Source organism: Homo sapiens, chromosome 7 (assembly GCF_000001405.40).
Source record: "Homo sapiens chromosome 7, GRCh38.p14 Primary Assembly".
NCBI classification, from domain to species: Eukaryota; Metazoa; Chordata; class Mammalia; order Primates; family Hominidae; genus Homo; species Homo sapiens.
This window is the reverse complement of record NC_000007.14, coordinates 82,276,518-82,301,800: the sequence shown is the minus strand read 5'-3', so window position 1 is coordinate 82,301,800 and position 25,283 is coordinate 82,276,518. Positions and strand designations below refer to the sequence as shown.

Genomic DNA, 25,283 nt, shown 5'->3' with positions numbered 1-25,283 from the left:
GGGAGAGCCTCTGTCTCTCTCTCTCTATGTGTGTGTGTGTGTGTGTGTGTGTGTGTGTGTGTGTGTGTGTATTATTTACCAAAATTAATACACAATTTAATGCAAACATCCCTTATTTATGTAAGAAAATTTATTTAAAAAAGAATTCATATTTGAAATACTTGAAAATTAGGTATCAAATTTTCTACCATCTATGTTGGTGGGAATAAAAAGGATCATTATCAAGCTACTCTTAACAACTCTTTTTTCGTTGTGTATGGTTAGGGCAACATTTACATTTTGTACTATGTATATATTTATATTTTGATTCATCAAGTTTATAAGAGAAAAATGATCACCCTAAGACATTGGGTTACTCTCTTAAGATAGCAAACCTGGCTGGGCACGGTGGCTCACGCTTATAATCCCAGCACTTTGGGAGGCTGAGGCAGGCGGATCACCTGAGGTTGGAGTTCAAGACCAGCCTGACCAACATGGAGAAACCCCGTCTCTACTAAAAATACAAAATTAACCGGGTGTGGTGGCGCATGCCTGTAATCCCAGCTACTTGGGAGGCTGAGGTAGGAGAATTGCTTGAACCCAGGAGGCAGAGTTTGCGGTGAGCTGAGGTCATTCCTTTGCACTCCAGCCTGGGCAACAAGAGTGAAACTCCATCCCTCCCCCGCCATCAAAAAGAAAAATAAATTAAAAAAAGATAGCAAACCTTTCTTTAGTCATTCACATTCTTACCATCTCAACTTTTATGCAAATTCAATGAAACTGTAATATGTTAATTAAATTGCAATGTCTACATTTGGATGTTATTTATCAACCTAACAAATCTTCCTTTGTGAAATTTAAATTTGGAAGTTATCAACTGCTTCATTATAATCACTAACACCAGTAATACAGATCCTAGTTTTTCCTTATATTAAAGTATTCAGACTGTTTTGAAAAATGAGACTATATCAGTTTCACGCATATTTTAATTTTAGAAAGTAAATACTAAATCTAGATTATTATATTTATAATATTTTAGTTTTACATTATTTATTTTTATTATAGAAGACAGATTTGTGGATTAGATTTGAATTCTCAGTATTCTGAATTGCTGTAACCTCACTATTCTAAGTATTCTAATTTAAGAAGCCTTCTTCCTTTGGTTGACTATCATTTAATAATGTCCTTAAGTTGGAAAACATGGTTGACGTGTTTAAACTTTAGGAGTTAGAAATAATTACTGTGAAAACATGGTCTTTCCTGCATACTTACGGTAGCAAATATAGCAAATTACTGAGGCTTTTCATATATATTCTGATAACCTTTAGTTTTATATGAATTACTCATGGCTTTTACTTTTGTTTTATGTGGACAACATGGTTTGTATATTACATGATGAAAGAGCTTTTCAAATTTTCATTCTTTTACGTATAAAATATTATTCATTTAAAATGGTATCTGTAATCCTATTAAGGGCTATGAGTCCTTCTATGATCTAGTTTGTCCTTTCCTTTCTGATTTAATTCCTCTTTACCCATTACAATGCTTCAGTCCACAGGCCTTCTTTATCTTTATTGCTGTCTGAGAGTATTTGCACATTCTGTTCCCTTTACTTAAAAAAAAAATTCCCTAACTTCGTGCTTTATTTACTTTTTCTTTCTTTACCTTAGGTCTCAGTGTGAAGATCAAAATAGCCTGCTTGACGATGTTGTTTAAATCAGACACCCACCCCTATTGTTATTCTGAATGAGAGACACCTACCTGTATTATCTTCAGAGCAATGATCACAGATCGGTCATGATTCAAGTTTTTGTTTGTTTCATTGTCTCCTAACTGGTAAAATCCATACGCGCCCATTTCAGTTCATATTTATCTTCATACCTGTTGGGCCTAACATCGTTCCTGATATATAGTGGGTGTTCTATAAATATTTACTGAATGAATAAGTTGGTTAATGAGTAAAATATAGGTTTTTTCCCTTTATAAGCTCTCTAATATTTTCTGATTTTCTATAATCCTATTAATTTAGGGCTGTAGAAATCAATTATGTTTATCTGATTGCTACTCATATAATAAAACTGAAGTTTGAAAGATGTGATAGTGAAGTGAAGACACTTTGAAATTATGCATTCTACTCTCATCTAACTTTTTTTTTTTTTTTTGAGATAGAGTCTTGCTCTGTTGCCTAGGCTGGAGTGCAGTGACATGATCTCAGCTCAGTGTAACCTCCGCCTCCCAGGTTCAAGTGATCTTGTGCCTCAGCTTCCCCAGTAGCTGGGACTACAGGTGCCTACCACCACGCCTGGCTAATTTTTGTATTTTTAGTAGAGATGGGGTTTCACCATGTTGGCCAGGCTGGTCTCGAACTCCTGACCTCAAGTGATCTGCCCACTCCTGCCTCCCAAAGTGCTGGGATTACAGACGTGAGCCACCGCACCCAGCCATTCTCATCTAACTTTTTAAGTAAAACTATCTTCACTGTTCTTTCTGAGAAAATGCTGATTGCAAAATACCCAAAACAATAATGAGAAAGTAAAAGTTTCCACTTTAACCTACTTTCTCCCTAAAACCCCCCAAAACAAACAAAAAAACCTACTGAGAATAATTTGGTATATGATCAACTTTCATTTTGTACATAGTATGTCTTTAATGTTAACAACATGTTTGTATGATAAGCAGAGAATTTTTTTTTCCCAATTAACCAGGTGAGTAAAAAATGACTTGGTATTTACTATTATTTTTACTTTTTTTTTTTTTTTTTGACAGAGTCTCGCTCTTTTCACCCAGGCTGGGTGCAATGGCGTGATCTCAGCTCACTGCAGCCTCTGCCTCCCCGGTTCAAAGGATTCTCCTGCCTCAGTCTCCCGAGTAGCTGGGATTACATGCACCCGCCACCACGCCCGGCCAATTTGTGTACTTTTAGTAGAGACGGGGTTTCACCATATTGGCCAGGCTGGTCTTGAACTCCTGACCGCAGGTGATCCGCCCACCTCGGCCTCCCAAAGTGCTGAGATTATAGGCGTGAGCCACTGTGCCCGGCCTATTTTTACTTATTAATTGAATTATATGTACATAAACTTGCCTCATTAGACATTTGGAGCTGGGTGTGGTAGCATGCGCCTATAGCCCCTGCTACTCAGAACACTCAAGCCTAGGAGTTAGAGGCTGAAGTGTGCCTGTGAAAAGCCATTGCTTTCCAGCATGGGCAACATAGTGAGACCCTTGTCTCTTAAAAAAAAAAAAAAGACATTTGCACTCTTTTTAAAAATAAATTTCATAGTATGATTGAACTATAAATATGAAATTTAAAGTAAAGAAAGGAAACTTATTCATAAGTTCTGGTCACCAATTTTAAGTAAAGAGAGTAAATACGGTCATTCAGATGTTAACAATATTATAGAAAAGAATGGAAAACCTGGATTATGTTTCTGAAATATATAAGCTTAGAAGAAGAAAGAAGACAGTGGAATCTCAGATGACTTCATAATGCCACTCTGTAATGTTATCTTTTAGTGGCAGTTACAGTTCTAGTCCTTTTATATATACTAGTACACTCAGAAATCAAAGAACTGGGTGGTAGATGGGAATGTCTGCATTGCCCTGGGATTCCCTATTGGTGGAAAACATTTACATGATACTAGTTTTTAGAGTCATTATTTGCTACTGGAGCATTTTAAAAATTCATACTAAATATTACTCAATAATTACCAGTCGGTGTGTATAATTCTACAATAGCTGCAAACATTTTTGTATTGAAGAGTTTTTGAATAACATTTTCTAGTTAGTGATGTATTTCATAATAATTTTGTTTTAATATATTTAATGAGGAAAGGTTTTTAAAAAATTATTAAAATTTCAATTTTACTCTACTTGATTCTAATTAAAACCACCCCTTGGCAATAAATTCTGCTTCTTATATATCCGTATTACAAGAAAATAATTGAGGAAACTTAAGGTTGTTTCTTGTTTATGAAGGTGGATGAATACATAATTATTTATTAAGATTGCTTATTAGTCGTTTTGTTTTATAGTAAAATCTTTATTAACAGCCTCCAGCATCTGAAATATAATACATTCCCAAGAAAATGTGCTATATAGAATAAGCTGGCCAATGTTATAAGGCACAGATATTGGTAAAGACTACAACTACATTAAAAAGGCTAAAGGTGATCTCAGGAATAAAAACGTAGCCATTGTATCCTAGAATTCTGTTTGTTCATTTGTTTAATAGAAACCCTTTTTATTCTATAATTACAATGACTTTTTTACAAAAATTTTTTTTGAAAAGGAATGTTGACTCTGCTAGTCTACAAATTGTATACATTCTTTCTATTGTGCAACAGCATTGGTAATATTAGAAGAAACACACTTCTAATTATGTGAAGTTACCAACTGAAAACAAGTGATAGCTTGCCATTCAACATCTCCCCCCACAAAGGAAGTATTAACAGGTGTGGTATCTTAGTATTAGCTGCCAGGAGACATTCATGTTACAGATCAATGATCAAGATTGTTGTTATACTATTAAATAGGGTAATACATTTTAATGTGAGTTTTTTCTATTTGTTTATTTTTTGAGACAGGGTCTCTGTTGCTCAGGCTGGAGTGCAGTGGCACGACCTTGCTCACTGCAGCCTCAGCCTCCTGGGCTCAAGGGATTCATTCACCTGCCTCAGCCACCTGATTAGCTGGGGCTATAGATGTGTGCCACCATACCTGGCTAATTTTTTTTTTTTTTTTTTTTTTTTTGGTAGACACAGAGCCTCACTATGTTTCCCTGGCTGGTCTCCAACTCCTGGACTTAAGCGATCTTCCCACCTCCGCCTCCCATAATGCTGAGATTACAGGCATAAGCCACCACTCCCCGCCAATATGAGTTTTTACTAATGAGAAATAATAGTATCCTAAACCCTGACATTTAAAATGATTTTTGCAGATACATAGGCAGTCACCAACTACATGCATAAATCCTTTTAATTTTAAATCTCATAGATTCTTATTTATTGAATGCCAACTATTTGCTAGGCTCCTACAGGTTGGAGTGGCAAAAATTCATATTCACCTACATATGCAATTAATCAGAATACTATATAACAAATGAAATCATAAAGAATGTCCACATACAGTGGTAATACATAGGAGAGAATGATTAACTCTGTTTTGTTGTGGGATGGCATGGGGTCAGGGAATGCTATAGCTGCATTTTAAATCAGTCCATACTGAAGTGAATAGGAGTTTAACAGATAGCTTTAAAAGGAGACATACAACTTGTTTAAATAAAATGTGCAATTAAGCATCTTGGGTCTAAATTTCTCTAAAATCCTTCCTGCTATTCTAAGAGGTTTATAATTAGGTGTCTTTCTGCTAATTAATTGCAGTAGCATAAAGCTTCACTTACTTGTAACAGCTATAGTGCCCAAGGCTGCAAAATTTTAGCAGACACATTGAGCTAACTGATTCGGATGTCAGAAATGCTCTGAGATGTTAATCCCATTTTAAAGGGGTCACTTACAGAAATAGTTTTTCCTCTTCAGAATCTACATGTTTTTTTTTTTAATTATTATTATACTTTAAGTTTTAGGGTACGTGTGCACAATGTGCAGGTTAGTTATATATGTATACATGTGCCATGCTGGTGTGCTGCACCCATTAACTCGTCATTCAGCATTAGGTATATCTCCTAATGCTATCCCTCCCCCCTTCCCCCACCCCGCAACAGTCCCCAGAGTGTGATGTTCCCCTTCCTGTGTCCATGTGTTCTCATTGTTCAATTCCCATCTATGAGTGAGAACATGAGGTGTTTGGTTTTTTGTCCTTGCGATAGTTTACTGAGAATGATGATTTCCAATTTCATCCATGTCCCTACAAAGGACATGAACTCATCATTTTTTATGGCTGCATAGTATTCCATGGTGTATATGTGCCACATTTTCTTAATCCAGTCTATCATTGTTGGACATTTGGGTTGGTTCCAAGTCTTTGCTATTGTGAATAGTGCCGCAATAAACATACGTGTTCATGTGTCTTTATAGCAGCATGATTTATAGTCCTTTGGGTATCAGAATCTACATGTTAACCCAGTATCCTCACACTTTTTTTTTTGTCACAAACTGGCCCTGTGTTATAGCAATAGTGACTCATTTATGTTTATACACTATAAATCACTAATCTCAACACTTTGGGAGGCTGAGTAATCTCAACACTTTGGGAGGCTGAGATGGGAGGATCGCTTGAGTTCAGGAGTTCGAGACTAGCCTAGGCAACATGGTGAAACCCCATCTCTTAAAAGAAAAAAAAAAGAAAGAAAGAAATTAGCGAGGTATAGTGCATAGTGGTGTACAGCTGTAATCTCAGCCACTGGGGAGGCTGAGGCAGGAGGATCGCTGGAGCCTGGGGGGTCAAGGCTGCAATGAGCAGTGATTGCGCCACTGTACTCCAGCTTGGGCGACAGAGTGAGACCCTGTCTCAAAAAAAAAAAAATACAAGCTACTTTCTTAGACATTTTCAAGTATACAATAAATTGTTATTAATTATACTCACCTTGTGTCTCTTGAACTTATTCCACCTGTCTAACTGAAATTTTATACCTTTTGATCAATATCTCCCCACTTTGTTATTTTACTGTAACAAGAAACCTTTTACATTAACATTTATGTTTAAGGTTCTTTTTCCTTTATAGAATATTTGAGGAAATGGGCAAAATGAAGTATTGGAAATATAGGTGTTCTCCAAAAACGATGTCTCAAGTTTCACTTCCTTTCCTGAAAGATTTTTGTGTAATTAATAATTAGATGGCAAGTCTTTTGTCTTTCTCCTTTTTAACTTAGCAAGTAAAATATTGACAAATTATAACTATGAGCCCTGTATTAGTTTTCTGCAGTTGATATGTCTTGGACTGATTTAACTTTCTTTTTTTGTCATGTAGATGTTTATAAATTGGATATATCATGTAAAAGTAAAACATTTTAACAACATAAAATGTAGCTAGAAAAATATAAATTAAAAAATTAACTCAAATTTATTAGTGTAATTCCTTTACAAAGTTTCAGAATGATAAGATTGATACTTACTTTGTAGGCTGTTGGTTTAAATTTTCTTCTACATGGTTGGGCTTCAGATATATAACTGCTTTAAATTTGGTTTATCATCTGTTTTGTTGCAGGGATTCCTCTGTAATTATTTTAGCTTACTAGATTTCATGACTCATGACATATTTTTAACATTGGGAGATACTTAATGACATGACTTATCATTAACCATTAGTCAATCTGCTTTTTATTGTGAAATTTATTTTTCCTTCCAGAATAAAATAGCTCATCTCAGAGTACAAAAAGTCATATTTCTGTTGCAGCAGAAAACTTAATTATAGTAAAAATAAATGATGAGTCATGTCACCATATAGAAATTGCAAGTGTGAATAACCGAATTCCTAGATTCAAGAGAAGACCTGTGATAAAGGAGCCTAATATCAAGTTAAAATTTCCATCCTGCATCTATGTTACAGCTGACTTCTACATCAAACCAAAAATATTTGAATTTTATGTAATAAAGGCCAAGTTATTTTTACTGTCAATTTTAAGTACTTTTAGTAGTAAGAAATAAGAATATCTTGACTAGATATTTAGCCATATTAAAATATAGCCGAACAATTTATGTTATGTTAAAATAGTTCAGTTTACTAGAGTTTTGATTAAGCATGGTGGCTTGAACAAGCATATCTATCTTTATTTTCTTTCAAATGCCCCATTGGAATAAAATAAAGGAAAAATGAAGACTTAAATCTGTGAGGATAAAGATGATAAAAGAGAAGATAGTGTCAGATAAGAAATGCTAACAAAATTGTAGAGCCAGAAGAGAGATCATTGTCTTCTAAGAGCAGAAAGAGCAAAAAGCTAAGGGCCTCTACTGGGATAATATATAATAAATATTTCTATTGGGAAATAATCACATTTGCACCTCATATCTCTGGAAGATTTTAGAAACAGGAGCCACAAGCTGCCTTTAAAAAGCTGGGTGCAAAATATAGCTGAAAACATAAAGATTCATTGAAAGTGTTTAAAATAAATTATATTCCCAGATCCTTCCCATACTGAACTCAGCCCTGGGTTGAACCCAAGAAGCTCTGGACTCAGAGATAGCTGGAGCTAAGAGATGTATGAGGCATCATTCTAAAACAGGAAACTATTTTAGAATTAAATAAAGCCTCTTCTTTGAGGTGTGAGATACCCAGGCTCCTCCCTTCTTGAATCCTAGAATTAGAAAGGAGTTTGTAAACGTAATTTCTGCAGCTATTGGCACAAGAGAGGAGCTCTTCAGAGACTGACATTTTGGGATTTGCAAACAAAATGGCCAGGTCACCAACTGAACACCCTACTTACCTGTTAGCAAACCTGCCCATGCAGAATGGGCTTTCAACTAGCTTTTCAAAGTCTTACTCTTAAATATGGATAAACAAAGATTATGTATGATTGAAGAAAGCTTTGAACTTAATGAGAAAGTCAAAATGACAAACAGGATAAAAAGAAAAAAAAGACAAAAGCAAAAAACAGAGGCAACCGAGACAATGCAGGAAACTGAAGAAAACTTCAAAAAATGATATTATACATCCTTAGATAAGAGATCTTTCATGTGTAAAACAAGATTTAGAGTGCTATATAAAAGGGCCATTGAGATAATTTATAAAAATTCATAACTGCAACATTAAGTAGAAGTGAAGAAAGGTAAAGTTAAGGAGACTCTCCTAGAAAAAAGGCAAAGAAATAAAAAATAGAAGATAAAGTCATAGGAAATTAGATCAGTCTATGAAGTATAAAATAAGGTTTCCGAAAAGAAAGAAAAAAAATCAAGGGGAAGAAATTATTTTTTAATGTGTATGTGTGTGTGTGTATATATTTGTATATACTCACATATACATATATGCATACATATGTATTTGTGATTCTCATATATTTGTATATAGTAAGAATGCTTACTCATATATTCATATAAAATTTGTTTATTTAAATTATATATACCCATGTATAATTTCCCATAACTAATGGACTTGGAAGCCAGATTGAAAGACATCATAAGTAGGAAGTGAAATAATGAACAGGACGTTGACAAGAGGTTTGGGAACACTGAAGAAATTATATTACAGCTCCAGAGAGAAAGATAAATGACAGTACATTGGAATAATAGTCAAAAAGGCAGTAGACTTTTTAATAACACTGGAAGCTAAAGACAATGTGAAATACCTTAAAAATTCTGAGAAATGATAATTTCCAAACTAGAATTGTATATCCAAATTATCAATCAAGTGTAAGGTAAAGCACGTAAATTTTCAAAAAATTGTTTTCCCGATGCACCTTTTCTCAGGAAGCTACTGGAGGAAGTGCTCCAACAAAACAAGGAAACAAACAGTAAAAGGAATACATGGATTGTTTTAAAGAAACAGGAAATTGGAAACGAAGAAGCAAGGCAATTACTGATGTCAGCAGAGCAGCAAGCAAGGAGTTTAATCCCATCAAATAGGTGCAGGGTGATGGAGTTATCCAGGACTTATGTCTCCAAGGAAAACATGAGGCAGATGGATTGCTGAATATATTTGATCCTGTTGAAGTGACTAAGTTTTCCTTTAGAGAACCTGAGAATGTATAACTCCAGGGAAATCAATAAGTTGTAAAATAAAGGAAGTGTCACAGCACACTACATTGCTTAGCTATGAGTAATATTTTCATTATCATAATTATGTCAGCACTGAATTATAGAACTACCTAAAAGTTGCCACTAGCTAAACTGGAAAAATTGAGGAAGAGAAAAATGTGTGTGTGTGTGTGTGCGTGCATGTGTGTATGTATGTGTGTGTTTGTAGTGGGGAAGGGAAAGTAACAAAAGAAAAATAAATATGTATTTTGATAAAACAATTTTGTGGATATTATCTAAATTTTAAAAATGTATAGCAGTTTTAGAGTGTTATATTTAAAAATGGAAGTATATAACAAAAATAGCTAACATAACTGAAAACATTTAGCTCTGGGCTGGGTGCAGTGGCTCACGCCTGTAATCTCAGCACTTTGGGAGGTTGAGGCAGAAGGATCACCAGAGCCCAGGAATTTGAGACCAGCCTGGGCAACATAGTGAGACCACGTCTCTACAAAAAGAAAAAAAAGAAAAAAAAATATATATATATGCACACACACACACAGATAGATATAAAAATATAGATTTTATATATATTTTTTATATATTATATATCTAGTATATATAAATATAAATATATATATTTATATATATCTATATATCACATATATAGATCTATCTATATATAGATCTATCTATATATAAAAATATATATAATATATTTTTATATATTATATATTTAATATATATAATAAAAATATATATTTTATATATTATATATCTAGATATTATATATCTAGTGTAGATGTAGATAGATATAGATGTATAAAGATATCTATATATCTAAATAGATGTATAAAGATATCTATATATCTAAATAGATGTATATTTATATATTATATATACTATATATAAAGGAATTATATATACACTATATTCTATATAGTATATATATTATATATAGAATATTTTAAATATATAATATAGAATTTTATAGATATAGAATTCTATATCGATATAGAATTATAATTCTATATCGATATAGAATTATATGTACAAGTGGCCTGCACTTGTAGTCCCAGATAGTAGGGGATGGGGTTTGGAGGATGAGGTGGGAGGATCCATTAAGCCCAGGAGTTTGAGGCTGCAGTGAGGTGTGATTGCACCACTGTACTCCATCTTGGGCAACAGAGCCAGACCCTGTCTCAAAGGAAAAAAAAAAAAAGAAAAGAAAGTAGAAAATGACTGGCTCTAGAAGTGAATTAAGAGTGGGGAAGGTGGCAGGCTTTTTAAAAATAATGCTTTCACTGGGTGCGGGGGCTCACGTCTGAAATCCCAGCACTTTGGGAGGCCGAGGTGAGTGGATCACCTGAGGTCGGGAGTTTGAGACCAGCCTGACCAACATGGAGAAACCCCATCTCTACTAAAAATACAAAATTAGCCCGGCATGGTGGTGCATGCCTGTAATCCCAGCTGCTCGGGAGGCTGAGGCATGAGCATCGCTTAAACCTAGGAGGCAGAGGTTGTGGTGAGCCGAGATCATGCCATTGCACCCCAGCTGGGGCAACAAGAGCGAAATTCCCTCTCAAAAAAAAAAATTCATGGCTTTTTTTTTTTTTTTAATATACGACCTGTAGTACTCATTGACTTTTAAATTGAACACCTATATTATATGGGGAAAATATGATTTAATAAAAAATAAAATGAAACTGTTTGCAATTGGAAATGAATTTATATTGCTTTCTTATATAAAACAATGTGTTACCCTCAAAGATTAGCTTGGACTCTTACGTCTTGTCTAGGTTTGTGCTTATTTCAACTTAGTATATTACTGCTGAAAGATGTACCTGTTTCCTTGTCGAATTGTCTATTTTTGCCATAACCTAAAATTAAAATAACAACAATTAATGCCTCCTCCTCCTTTACCTCCTCATGAAAATATTTGAGGCATCCTTTTGATTTTTCCTGTATTATGCTTGCCTCTGTCCTTTAGTCTTCCTTTCGCTTAGTTCAGAACTTCATTAACTCTTACCTGGAATATATTAGGTTGGTGCAAACATAACTGTGGTTTTTGCTATTAAAAGTAATGGCAAAAACCGCAATTACTTTTGCACCAACCTAATAGGAACAACTTCTGAAATGATATTTCAACTTCTAGCCTCTCTCTGCTTTAATTTGTTCTAAAGAGCCTTCAGCTTGAACTTCAGAAATCACAACAGTAATGTAGGTTCTACTTTAAGTGAACAACAGCAACAAAAAAGTTAAGGGTAAGATGAGGCAGTCTTTTCAGTGGAAAATACTTGTCTTGGGGACAGTATGTCATGTCCCTATACCTGGTGCCATTGATAAGGTTATTCATTCAACAATATTTACTGATCACTGGCATATGCCAAGCACTCTGCCAACTACTAGGGATATAAACATTAGAAAGACAAGTTCCTCCCTTTTCAGTCACGTTTAAAAAGGCCGTAAATATTAGAGTTTTCTCAAAGATGAGTGAGGTTTCAGAGCCAAGTATTTGTTGATAGAGATTCAAGATAAATGAACTGTGTTTGAGCTCTGTTAGGTTAAATGGTGTTTTTTCCCTCTATGCCTTAAGTCAGTGAGAGTCATATTTAATTTTTTAATGAAAGACCTTTATCATACCTTGAAGTTAGAAATTAATTATGTAGTTGGTTAAATTATTTGGAATGGTTAATGCCTTTTTACTGTGTTCAATTCTAGTCCCATTTTTACCTACCTTTTTATTCTAGGCCTCTGCAAACTTACGTCCACAAACAATTTCAGTTGTCAAATGAATAATTCATCTTGTTCATTGTATTGCGAATTGGCATATCTGAGAGCAGATACAATGGTGTGTGTTTGTACAAGAAGCCTTTTGTTCTTTTGCAAAAGAAAAAAATGTGAGGTGTCAAAAGATGTTTGTACTAAATTATGTATATGTTGGATACTTGATTCTTAAAGTCATGCTGGGGGGTATATTTAAATGTGGAGGTATATGACTAGGTCTTATTGTACTTTTTTGCATTTGATAAATTCAAATATTTTGACTTTCAATTCACCATAAACAAATAGCATTCATTTTCTGTTTTATAAAGGACAAATAGATAACTACTTTATTTGGATCCCATCCAGATTTATAACTGTGTGGAACTAAATATTTGCACTATGTGGTCATGGTGACTTTCTGATAGGTAGTGGCTGTTGCAGACTAGATACATGACTGTGATTTATTATTTAACTATGGGCTGCGTTCATTACAGCAGGGAGCCTCGCTTCCTGTAGCTCCTTTGAGATCTATGACTGTCATAACACTTTGCACAGTGGCATGGACATCATTCTCAGTTGCAGGTTTCCTCTGAACTCCTCCAAAAGGCTTGATTTTCACAACCTCAATGGAACACACAGAGAATTCATGCCTAAACTTATTGACTCTGATATCCAGCATGCTCATAGGAGCATAAAACCATAGGCAGCTGTTCTTTTGGGTCCCAGTTGTCAGGTGGGAAATTACGAAGAGCTTCATGCTGTTCTAAATAATTAAAATTAATACTAGAAGAAAACCTGCTCAATTAGCATCAGATTCCTTACAGATATGGAATATTAAATCAGTGTCTTCAGAGACAAGTATGCCTTGTGAGATACAAATATTTTAGCAGGAATAATTTTTAGTCTGCCTGGATGACTCAACAGAATGTATCAATTCAATAACTCTTTGTTAAAAGAAGCTAAGCATTCAAATGTGTGTGTGTGTGTGTGTGTGTGTGTGTGTGTGTGTATAGAAGCAAAATAATACATCTTTTAATGTGAGTGCTCCTTCTATAGTCCCTTCAGTTACCTTAACTGCCCCAAACAATCTTCTCTTCCTGTAATTTTATTAAAATTATTCATAATATAACTTTTAGAGGACAAGGGTAGGATAAAAGGGAGTCACAAATAATAACATCTTTTAAGAAATACTGAAAAACAAAACAAGTTTTAATACTGGAATGGATGCTAAGAAGAGAATTGCAGGAAAGTTTACTCTATGGCACTTGAAGACCTTTATATAAAAAACTTGGGGCCGGGCGCGGTGGCTCACGCCTGTAATCCCAGCACTTTGGGAGGCCGAGGCGGGCAGATCACGAGGTCAGGAGATCGAGTCCATCCCGGCTAACACAGTGAAACCCCATCTCTACTAAAAATACAAAAAAAAAAAAAAAATTAGCCGGGCATGGTGGTGGGCTCCTGTAGTGCCAGCTACTCGGGAGGCTGAGGCAGGAGAATGGTGTAAACCCGGGAGGCGGAGCTTGCAGATCGCACCACTGCACTCCAGCCTGGGCGACAGAGCGAGACTCTGTCTCAAAAAAAAACAAAAAAAAGTAAGGAGATAAACAAGCCCTATTCTTAGCCCTTGTAACTCTCAGAGCTTTATACTTTTATGTTTGTTGTTAGATGGCTGATAATTTGTTCTCTCATTATTTTAATTGTCTGCATCATTTTTAAAAGGGTTGTCAGAGAGAGCTTGCCAAAGTACATGACATTTAAATCATTAAGGAATCATACTATGGTATCCCAGATCTGAAAGTAGAAAGTGCATCATAATGCTATCATTTGAGAATTTGGGTCACCTCTCCTGGGAGCTCTGAATTTGATATTCATTTCCTTTCTCAGCTGCATTTTCTTCACTAAAAAACAGTGCAGTGAAGCATATAGGACAGATGTTGTGTATGAGAAAGAAAATGGAAAACAAACACAACTGTGCATTGGGGTGCATGTGGGAGGAGATATAATAGAATTCAATGTGGTTATTTCTCCAGAACATCCCAGCCAAGGATAACATCCATCCTTGAGGCCAGTGACCTTATTGCTAAAACTGCCTGCCTAAATATAATTTAAGTTACTAAGAAATTTGTTTTTGGAAATAAACAAGGGACTCTAGTGTATTAAAAAAAAAAAGAAAGAAAAGAAGAAGCCAAAAGTCTAAGCTAGATTTACCACATGCTAATATATTTGTATGTCAGGGACTGTGCAATTAGACTTGAAGTTACTTACTGGAATTCTACAGGAAAAGGAAAAATAATACATTGGCGCTAATTGTCATTACCCTTGGTTGGAGACATATATGATTAAAAAGAATGTGAAGACAGTGATAATTAATAATAAATGAACTATAAATTAGATCAGCTGATGATTGAGAAGAGAAGAAATTACTCTTTAAATCTGTGCGTGCTTGTTAAATGGTGCAGGATGCAAAGAGCACCTGCCTGCCTTTTTCATGCCCTGGACCTGCTGTGCTTTTGAAACCTATAGATAAGTTAAATGTGTTCCAAGCAGCCCATGGAGTCTATTTCATCTTTGTAAATGGGGGGAAAAATCTCCACACACTTAAATAGGCATGGGGACAAAGTAACTTGGCTAAAGAAGCAAAAACCAATTGGTGATTAAAAAAAAGAAAATAAAACATTTTTCTTTTTGCTTTCTTTCTTTTTTTGTGTGAGAATAAACTAAAGCTTTTTAAGACCAGATGAGGTATTGAGACATGATCTAATCTGCCTTCTCCCACCAGGCTTTGCTACGTCAATAATCAGTGTCTGCCTCAGAATATGAAAGTAGGGAAACTTAGGACAATGAACCAAGCTAGAAACAGGACTTCAGAAAATCACTTTGGAAAGATTGTACAACTTTGTATTTTGCTTAGATTATAAAAAGCTATAAGATACTTGTATATCTGTTTTTGCCTGGATAAACCTTGTGTCCATTTCAATGAGTTTTAAAATTATTTTGAGTAGGTAGTTTTGGGGTGTGTGTGTGTTTTAGTAAATATGTGAGAATCAGAGTTTCCTGCGAGTGATTATAAATCTGTTTCTTTTTCAGCAAGAAAAATAGCGAGTATGAGGGTAAGAGAGCAGAGGACAAGCACCAACAGGGACAGTGATAAGACAGGAAAAACAGACTTCCCAGAGAAAGGGTGTTTCTCAATCGCTTGGGACCCTTTCTTCCAAAACAACTTTATGTTGCTGTCTAGGTGATTAAAGCCCCTAGATAGCAAGTAATATCTATAAAAGCTACTGGCAGACACACAAATGTTAAATAAGCAGATATGGGAGAGAAGGAAAAAAAGGAGAAAAAGTACGAAACAGTGGTGTATTACAAGGGGGCGTGGCAGAGCAGAGACAGAGAGGAAGAAGAGACAAGGGAAAAGGAGAACAACAAATATTGCCATTGGATAGCCCAAGAAAATGCTTTCAGTTCCTCAGGAGTAATTCACTGGAATCCATCTGTGGCTTTTTAATCATTGATCTACAAATAATAGAATGATTCATTCATGTGCATACCCCCAACTGTATTTTATCAGCTGTGCCAGTGTTGCGTACTTTAACGTAAGACATCACCAAGTAGGAAAGAGTCTTCATAACCTGTGTTTTTCATAGAGGGTCCCATGGCCTCCAGTATCAAGTTTTTAAATATGTCATTGTCAAAATAATTAGGGTAACCATATGTTCCAGTTTACCAGGAAAAGTCCTGTCCCATGCGTTCATATATGCTACTCACATTTACTCTTCAAAGGGTTCAATTTTAAAATGTTACATATAGTCCACTAATCATAGTGGATCCAGCCAATGTGCTGCAACCCAAAGCTACCATAATATATGGATAGTACTGCCCTGACACCTCCTTATCACCCCCTGCTCAGCATTTACTTTTTTTATAACAGTTACGTACTTCATTTAAGAGCTGAAGAATTTCAGAGTTACTTATATGTTATAAGTAAATAAGGGAATAACTATTTCAAGAGTACGTACTGCATATCATGACACTTTTCAGTCTGGGAAAGGTACCTTGGCTAGGACTGCAGGATTGCACAGGGTTGGGCTGTGTAGGGGGTTCAAAGGATTTGGGGCCTGATTGAGGAAAGATATGACCATGAGAGGCATTACCACAAAACAGGTTTTATTGGGCAGCCCTTGAACAGGAATGCAAGAGCGAGGAAGTCTCTCACAGCATGAAGCCATCTGGAAGCTTATGGCCATGACCACCATCGAGAAGAGGAGGAGGGCAAGGGGAGCTCCTGGGAAGAGGGGAATCAGAGAGGAGGCTTACATGTCTATGTGCAGTGATTAAGCAGCACTGGGGGTGGTTGTGGATCAAAGAGCTCTGCATGGCAGCAGGGCCTTGGGATTTTCATCGCCCCGGGCTTATTTGATCTATTGCTAGTAGATGTGGGTGGAGTTTTAAGGAATACACAAAGGAGGCAGTCTCCTGTGTGGCTAAAAATCTGTTTGTTGGGGCTATTTAAAAAAAAAATGGATGCGTAAAAATTTGAGTTTTGTTAAGTTCTGAAGGGCTGGACCTCTCAGGGTCTTATGTACATTACAAAGACAACCCAAGCCACATATATACTATTCCTATGGCCTGAATGTTGATGTTTCTCCACAACTCCTATATTGGAACTTAACCCTCAAGGTGATGGTATTATGAGGTGAGGCCTCTCACAGGTAATAAGGTCATGAGGGCTCTGCTCTCCTGGATGCCATTAGCGCTGTACAGAAGGGCTTGAAGGAGAGAGTTTACCTTCCTTGCTCTTCAGCTCCTCCTGCCATGTGAGGACTCAGTAACTAGGTGCCATCTTTGAAGCAGAGAGCAAGCCCTCATCAGACACTGAATGTACTGGTGCCTTGGTCTTGAACTTGCCAGCCTTCAGAACTGAGAAATAAATTTCTTTGTTTATAAATGACTCAGTCTAGGGTATTTTGTTACAGCAGCCTGAATGGACTAAGACAACTGTATTAACCCTCACAACAAGAGGGAAAATAGTAAATACCTGGGCAAACTCCAGTGGTTTTTTAATGTATCAGTTAAACCTCTAAGCCAGTTTCTACATTAACCTGCATGGTCTCGCCCTTGGAGATACAAGATACGTGATGCTCATATTTATTTCAGTTTGCTTTTATCTTTTATTTTTAAATTTGTGTAGATTTACCTTTTTCTTTATAGTTTTTTTCCTTTTTCTTTTTTTTCTTTTTTTTTTTGGAGAAGGCTCTTATGTTGCCCAGGCTGGAGTACAGTGGTTATCATAGCACAGTAGAGCCTCCACCTCCTGCCTCAAGTGATCTTCCTGCCTCAGCCTCTCTAGTATCTGGGACTACAGGTGCACACCACTACACCCAGTTCTTTGTAGTTTCTATATTTGAAGTTTTGCTTAAACAGACCATCTCTAACTTGAGCTGTTTCCTTTTCTTTTAATTTATGCTTTCATTGTTTTCTGATTTATTTCCCCTCATGTTTAACCTCTTAATCTATATGAATGGGCTTACATGCTGCAAGGTGGGCATCTTTTTATTTTTCTTTCCAAATAGTTAAGTGATCATTCTAGAATCATGTTCTCATTTATTTAAAAAATTATATATCTGCTAATTTGTTTCTAGATGTTCAGCTCTGTTTCATTAGTTTTTGCATTATTGTACTAGTTACATGCATTAATGCTATTTTTCCCTTATGCAATTTAATGTCCCAAAGTCCATGTGTGACCTTATGTTACTAAAAAAAATAGAGATTCTTTATGGTGATTGTTAGTATATAAGAATCTTCCTCCTATCATCTTCTTCCAAGACCATATCATTTTTACTCCTAAGTCCTTAGAACTTGCTCTCCATTTTCACAGATACCGTTCACTTAAAATTCTCCATTAATGTTTTAATCTCCATATGAAATTGCTTGTTAGGAACTCTATCAACATTTATGCTATTTGATTATATGTTTTAATACTTGAATAAATATCTATGCTTTTTTGTAAATTTTAAAGTTCTATAAAATCATAAGCTATTTAGATGCTGGATCCTTCCTGGCTTATCTTTTCACTGTTCACCTGCCCAGCCTTGCATATAATAAGCATTGAGTTGTCTTCTTCTAATGTTAGAAGGAAACTTTGTGGAAGACAGCTTTGTAAATGTCTCATAAAACAACAATTTGAGAAAACTCAGGTTGAATTCTGGAACACAGAATGGAAAAGATAGGTACACTATTTTCTGAAATGAAATTTTTTTAACTTCAATTTTTTTTTTTAATAGCCGCAGTTAGATTGGTATTCTTCAGGGAAGGTCTAATATGGTCAAAATACAATTGTAGTAGCAGATTTCTTATAATACATTGTAAGGAGCGTGGGAAACAAAATCTGTCTCTCGATTCAGATGTTTAAATGAAGGTTCTATTATAAAGTTAAAAATATTTGAAAAATTCTGAATGCATAGTCACCATTGCCATGGCATTACCAGTTTTATTTAATTTGATTCTTATATTAGGCGAATTGCAGCGTTTAAATTTGTAATGTATTGTAGGAATGTGCATGGTGTACCTGAGGTGCCCCTTCCCACACCCTCCCTGCCACACGCACATAAAATAAATTTGAACTAAAGGAAAACAAATCAGAAATATCCTCAAAGATGTCTTCTTACTTAGGAATCAATTTTATTGTTTTGGATATTTTTATAGATAACCCTCTGTGATTCCCCCCCCCACATTTTACAATTTTATTTACACAACACTTTGTTTAATAAAATGGAATTATGAAAACATCATTTTATTTGTTGGCAGTATATGAACTAGTTATAAATATAAGAAAATAGGATAATTACTTAGGTTAAGTATACTGGGAAATCAGACACGCCCTCCTTCTGCTAAGAGTTTTTCTCACAAATCCTGCTAACCTTCCTGCCCACAGCTCTTACCTGTCTCAAAGGGGTCAACCCATGGATCAGGATGCATCAGTTACAACTTTCACATAGATTTTTCTCCCTGGAACTTGTTGGGAGCATACTGGGTATTTTCAATTCCGATATTCCCCAACTTCCCTAGATCACTCGGTGGATCCGAACATAACTGCAATAACAGATTAGATTTATTTTTATTTTATTTTATATTTTAGAGACAGAATCTGGTTCTGTCCCCCAGGCTGGAGTGCAGTGGTGCAATCTCTGCTTACTGCAACCTCCGCCTCCTGGGTTCAAGGGATTCTCCTACCTCAGCCTCCGAAGTAGCTGGGACTACAGGCGGGGGTCACCACATCCAGCTAACTTTTTGTATTTTTAGTAGAGAAGGAGTTTCACCATGTTGACAAGGTTGGTCTTGAACTTCTGACCTCAAGTGTTCCACCCACCTCGGCCTCCCAAAGTGCTGGGATTACAGGCATGAGCCACTGTGCCTGGCCAACAGATTAGATTTAGCTTTGGCACATGGAGTTTTTTTCTTTCTTTTTTCTTTTTTTCTTTGCTTTGTTTTCTTGATATTTACAATATTATGAAAGATTTTCAAAATTGCTATCATGAAAAACATCCTAAGTTATTGCAGGATGTATGACATTACATTTATAAAGGGAATTGTCAATTTTAGAATGGAATCAGAGAGTTTTAAATATAATATTTTAAATTTATAAATCATTTTAGCTATTAAATGAAAGTTCATAATGACACGTACATTTGATATTTATATTCATTCTTACATTTAACATTGATACAAATTCTATAAAAATAGCATCTTTATCATATCCCGCTATATGCTTACAGTGTTTTGAACTATTTTTTAATAGAAATATTTGTGCAGATAAAATGAAAGGCAAGGCATAACTCTGAATTTTATAAATATTATAGAGGACAGAATTTTTTTGGCATAATGTTGCTTTTTAATCTATGTGAAACTCCATATAATTGAGAATATTCACTTTCTAAGGAATGACAGTTAGTTGGTAAGAATTTGGGTGAAAAAATTATATGTCCACATTGTCTTGTGTAGTGGACATTGTGGCTGTCTCTTGAACAGTGAGTCCACCCCTCTCCTTTGTGTAGCATCCATCTGGTTTGGATGACACTGACCAGTTACTGACATGGGACTGCGTCTCTCGACACAATGACTTGTTCTTATAAAAACCCAAGATTCCGTTGGTTAACACATGGTCTTCTGTTGTCTAGAAAAACTGGTTCAAGAGCAGTCTTATCAATGCAAAGCTCAAGTCTCTTCAGTAGTGGTGTGAGGAAGAAAAATCTCTCTTTTCCACTGGCCCCAAACCAGAGTCTCCTGAGAACAAGAGGAGCCTTTAAATTATGGAGGACTTGATTAGTTGATGCTGATGTGGAGGTGGTCAGTCAACTAACACTGAATCACACTTTACATCTGGACTTCCTTGTTCTCCAGTTTAGTAAATTCCTTAATGATCAGACCAATTTGAGTTGGATTTTCAGTTACTTGCAGCTAAAGGAAACCCAAATGATATACCTGCTGCTGTGGAAATACACTAAAATGGATTCCAAATCAGGAGCCTAAATTTGTGTCTTGGTTCTTCATTTACTTGCAGTTTGACCTCAGACAAATAAATAATTTCCAGGCAGGCACTGGTGCACGTGTCTGTAGTCCCAGCTACACAGGAGGCTGAGGTGGGAGGATCACTGGAGCCCAAGAGTTCAAGGCTGCAGTGAGCTATGATCATACCAGTGCATTCCAGCCTGGGCATCAAAGCAAAACTCTGTCTCTAAAAAATAAAATTAAATTAAAATAATTAATAAGTAAGGTTTCTATGTAAAAGGGGTAGATGAGATTACATAAAAAGCTTCTAACGCTAAAATTCTAGAATCTGTGATCCTAAATTGGTTTCTAAATTTAAAAAATGTAAATTTCATGTAATGGTGAAGATCATTAGCTTCTTCCAGAGCTGGACTACAGCTTGGGAGTAGGAAGACAGGCCTGTGTGCTCTTCAGGATATATTAAGATGGCACACATCAAAGTGTCATTTGGGAAGATATTAGCATAAACAAAAAATGCCACAGAACTGTTTTATTAATTACTTGAGCCTCGTGTTTTGTCCTTATGAGCTCTTTTGTCCTGGAATTCTGAAAATTATAATTTGTCAGTACTTTTGTCACTCAAATTTTCCTCTCTGTCATATGTAATATATATGTACATGTACATGAGCATGCACACATACTATTTTTATATGTTAAATGTCTTGAAATGGAAACTAGCCAAATCTAACAATAAAATATCATACAAGTAACATGTATTTTCACTTATGATTCAAAATAAAATACATTGTTCATTTGAAAATTAATATATTTTTAGTCCTTCTTTTTGATTCACAAGATTTACTTTAAATAAATCAATACCAGGTTTTTAAAAAGTGTTTTGTTTGTGTAATCACTGTGCCTTTTTTTCTTGTCACTTAAAAGAGAAGACATAGAAAATAGCATGCAATTATATCATTTTTGTATTGTTACAGATATTTAGGTCCAATTAGTTTTGATCACTTAAGCTGTGAACAGAGAGACCAGATTGTGTGAAAATTACCTGGACCAAGTTTAGTCTTGTGGTAAGACACAATCTAATTACATTTTAGGTTAAAAAAATAACTCTAAAGCTACAGAGTACAAATAATAAGCGGTATATATACTTATTATGATTTTATTCAGGGAGACCTAATTTTTTCAAATCTTAACAACAGATCAGTTATTAAAAGGAACTATTAAAGGAGCAGTAGGTTATGGGAACCCTGCAGTCTAAGGAGAGAGCAATTATGAAAAGTTAGGTTAGAAGAAGAGACTGGATATTATTTAAGGAATCTGTTTAGTTTTAGTCCTATACAGATTTATCTTCATTGAGATGAATATAAACTTGGGGAAGAGGTCTTTGTCACTGAGATTTAGAAGTATTAATAGTCGATGATGAAGAAATGCCCTAGAGAAAACATTATTAGCCAGTCATTTTGGATTATAACAACTACAGACTGGTTGATAATCAGATTCTATAGATGGCCTCTTAATTTGCAGTATGTGTCTTTCCCTAAAATTTGAATTGCCAACTGTTCAGAAGTGGGCTATACCACTTGTAATAACTTCAGATAAATAAATAAATACATACATAAATAAATAAATTCCAGTTATTAATGGAAATGGATGCATTGCAGCCTGAAATAGAGGAGGGGCAGAAAGAACCCTCTATCCACATACTTTTGCAGAACATATTCATTTCAGTTTATTGCCCCTCTGAACCTATTAGTCATAATGGAATTACCTTAACAAGAAAATTCTATTCTTTCTCCAAATACTGACCATGTAGTTGGCCTGCAAAATACAGTGAAATTTTTATGGAAGAGAAAACCTTGGCACTGACTTTTCTGCATAGCTTCCTTGGATGAAATGCTGGGATGGGTGGCTGAGGGAAGGTTGGAAGCTTTAAGGGAGCCAGAAGCTGAAAGAGAAGTCACATGGTTTTGCTTAGGTTCCTAGAAGCCTTTGAAATTACTGAGAACCAATTCATGTGTTCTGTTGACATTTCAACAGGAGTGTCTGTGCTGAACGAGTAGACCCTTACATGTGCTTGCATTTTAAGTCTTACCCCTCTGTATCTGCTTTGATGCCATTAAGGTTTAATTTAAATTTTGGATCCTCTATTCGAATAAAACTAATAGAACTAAAAATGTGGGGATTCAATTACAATCTTGTAGGTTATTATTAATTTCTGTTTGAATTGTTGTATTTCTTACTCCAAAGAAATAAAAGGGTTCATGAGTTTTATAACAGACTTGGTAACCATTTTTGGAACTTATCATCTCCACTCAAGATTGGAAGTTTCTTTTTGTCAGGAAGATATGTAATTTTTTTTTTTTTTTTTTTTTTTTAAGACAGAGTCTCACTCTGTCTCTCAGGCTGGAGTGCAGTGGTATGATCTTGGCTGACTGCAACCTCTGCCTCCTGGGCTCAAGCGATTCTCCTGCCTCAGCCTCCTGAGTAGCTGAGATCCAGCTAATTTTTGTATTTTTATTAGTTATGGGGTTTTGCCATGTTGGCCAGGCTGGTCTCCAACTCCCGACCTCAGGTGATCTGCCTGCCTTGGCCTCCCAAAGTGCTGGGATTACAGGCATGAGCCACTGCGCCCAGCCAGGAAGATGTGTAATTTTGTTTGTTGATATAAGTATATTAGGTAATCAGTGATGTTTCAAATAAATAAATTGCCTTCCATCTTTTGAATAAATTGTATTAACATAAGAAGTTGATAGATACAGACAATCTCCTATTTTTATATGGGAATCATACCAAAAGTTGAATAAATGAAGGTTAACATACATGTTAAAGGAGAGAGGAGCCTTGTTGTCAGAGAGCTAAAAATTATTTTTTAAAAATTCAGTTATAGGCTGGGTGTGGTGACTCACACCTGTACTCCTAGCACTTTGGGAGGCTAAGGTGGCTGGATCACTTGAGGTCAGGAGTTCGAGGACCAACCTGGCTAACATGGTGAAACCCTCTCTGTACTAAAAATACAAAAATTAGCCCGGTGTGGTGGCATGTGCCTGTGGTCCCAGCTACTTGGGAGGCTAAGGCAGGAGAATTGCTTGAACCCAGGAGGTGGAGGTTGCTGTGAGCCGAGATCACACCACTGCACTCCAGCCTGAGCGACAGGGCGAGACTCCATCTCAAAAAAAAAAAAATAAAAGTAAAAAATTAAAAAATCAAATATGCATTTTTTTATGACAATCTTCAATTATATGTTCTCAACATATTTTTGTGTATGTGTGTGTGTATCCTCACACAACCGGTTGAGGTTGAAGATAGACTGGTTTCTTTTAGGTCTATCATTGTCACAACCCTACTAAGGCAATCACATTCATGGTTTTATTCCAAGTACCAGCAATTTTACTTTTCCAGTCTATAGCCATTGTTGTATAATATAAAAAAAGGGGGTTGGGCGCAGTGGCTCATGCCTGTAATCCCAATGCTTTGGGAGACTGAGGTGGGCAGATCACAAGGTCAGGAGTTCGAGACCAGTCTGGTCAATATGGTGAAACCCCATCTCTACTGAAAATTCAAAAATTATCTGGGCGTGGTGGTGGGCACCTGTAGTCCCAGCTACTCGGGGGCTGAGGCAGGAAAATCACTTGAATTTGGGAGGTGGAGGTTGCAATGAGCCGAGATTGTGCCACTGCACTACAGCCTGGGCGACACAGCGAGACTTCATCCCCCTCCAAAAGAAAAGGCAAAACGCAATTAAATATTCAAATAAGAGTTAGACTGACACTGCTACACAGATAAATGTGAAAAGTCTGTCCAACAAAACCATTGTGTTTTAGCTGCTAGCGTTTTGAACGATCTCTAAATGGCCAAACATAAAGTGATGTTAAAAAAAGAGAAATGGAGGCTGGGCAGGGTGGCTCCCACCTGTATTCCCAGCACTTTGGGAGGCTGAGGCAGGCAGATCATAAGGTCAAGAGATCGAGACCATCCTGGCCAACATGGTGAACCCTATCTCTACTAAAAATACAAAAATTAGCTGGTTATGGTGGTGGTTGCCTGTAGTCCAAGCTACTTGGGAGGCTGAGGCAGGAGAATCGCTTGAACACAGGAGGCAGAGGTTGCAGTGAGCCGAGATTGCACCACTGCACTAAAGCCTGGCGACAGAATGAGACTCTGTCTAAAAAAAAAAAAAAGAAAAAGAAAAAGAAAAAGGGAGAGATGGATGTCAATGTATCCATCAAAGTACCCACTACTGGAAAGCTGTCCCAGTAAGTGTTTGTGGTTTCAAATAATAGAGTGACAAGCTGACTTAAATGGCAGACATATTTATTGAAAGAATATATTGGCTAATTCACAGAATTAAGAACTAAACTTAAAATCACATTAAGAGCCAGACTGGGGAGGACACTCTTGCCACCATCCCTGAACAG

The 25,283-nt window shown here is 36.0% G+C and overlaps 1 protein-coding gene across 16 annotated transcripts in view, besides 1 other annotated feature; it reads left to right on the top strand.

Annotated features, from left to right (window-relative positions):
- Positions 1 to 25,283, top strand: part of CACNA2D1 (calcium voltage-gated channel auxiliary subunit alpha2delta 1) — a 497,513-nt gene that overhangs the window by 142,156 nt on the left and 330,074 nt on the right. The window lies entirely within an intron of this gene.
- Positions 16,344 to 16,995: an enhancer, noted in NCBI's record as "OCT4-NANOG-H3K27ac hESC enhancer chr7:81914122-81914773 (GRCh37/hg19 assembly coordinates)". NCBI's record gives its function as "activates a minimal SCP1, AML or CMV promoter by ChIP-STARR-seq in naive and primed H9 embryonic stem cells {active_cell/tissue: H9 hESC(naive and primed)}" and the evidence as "EXISTENCE:reporter gene assay evidence [ECO:0000049][PMID:30033119]".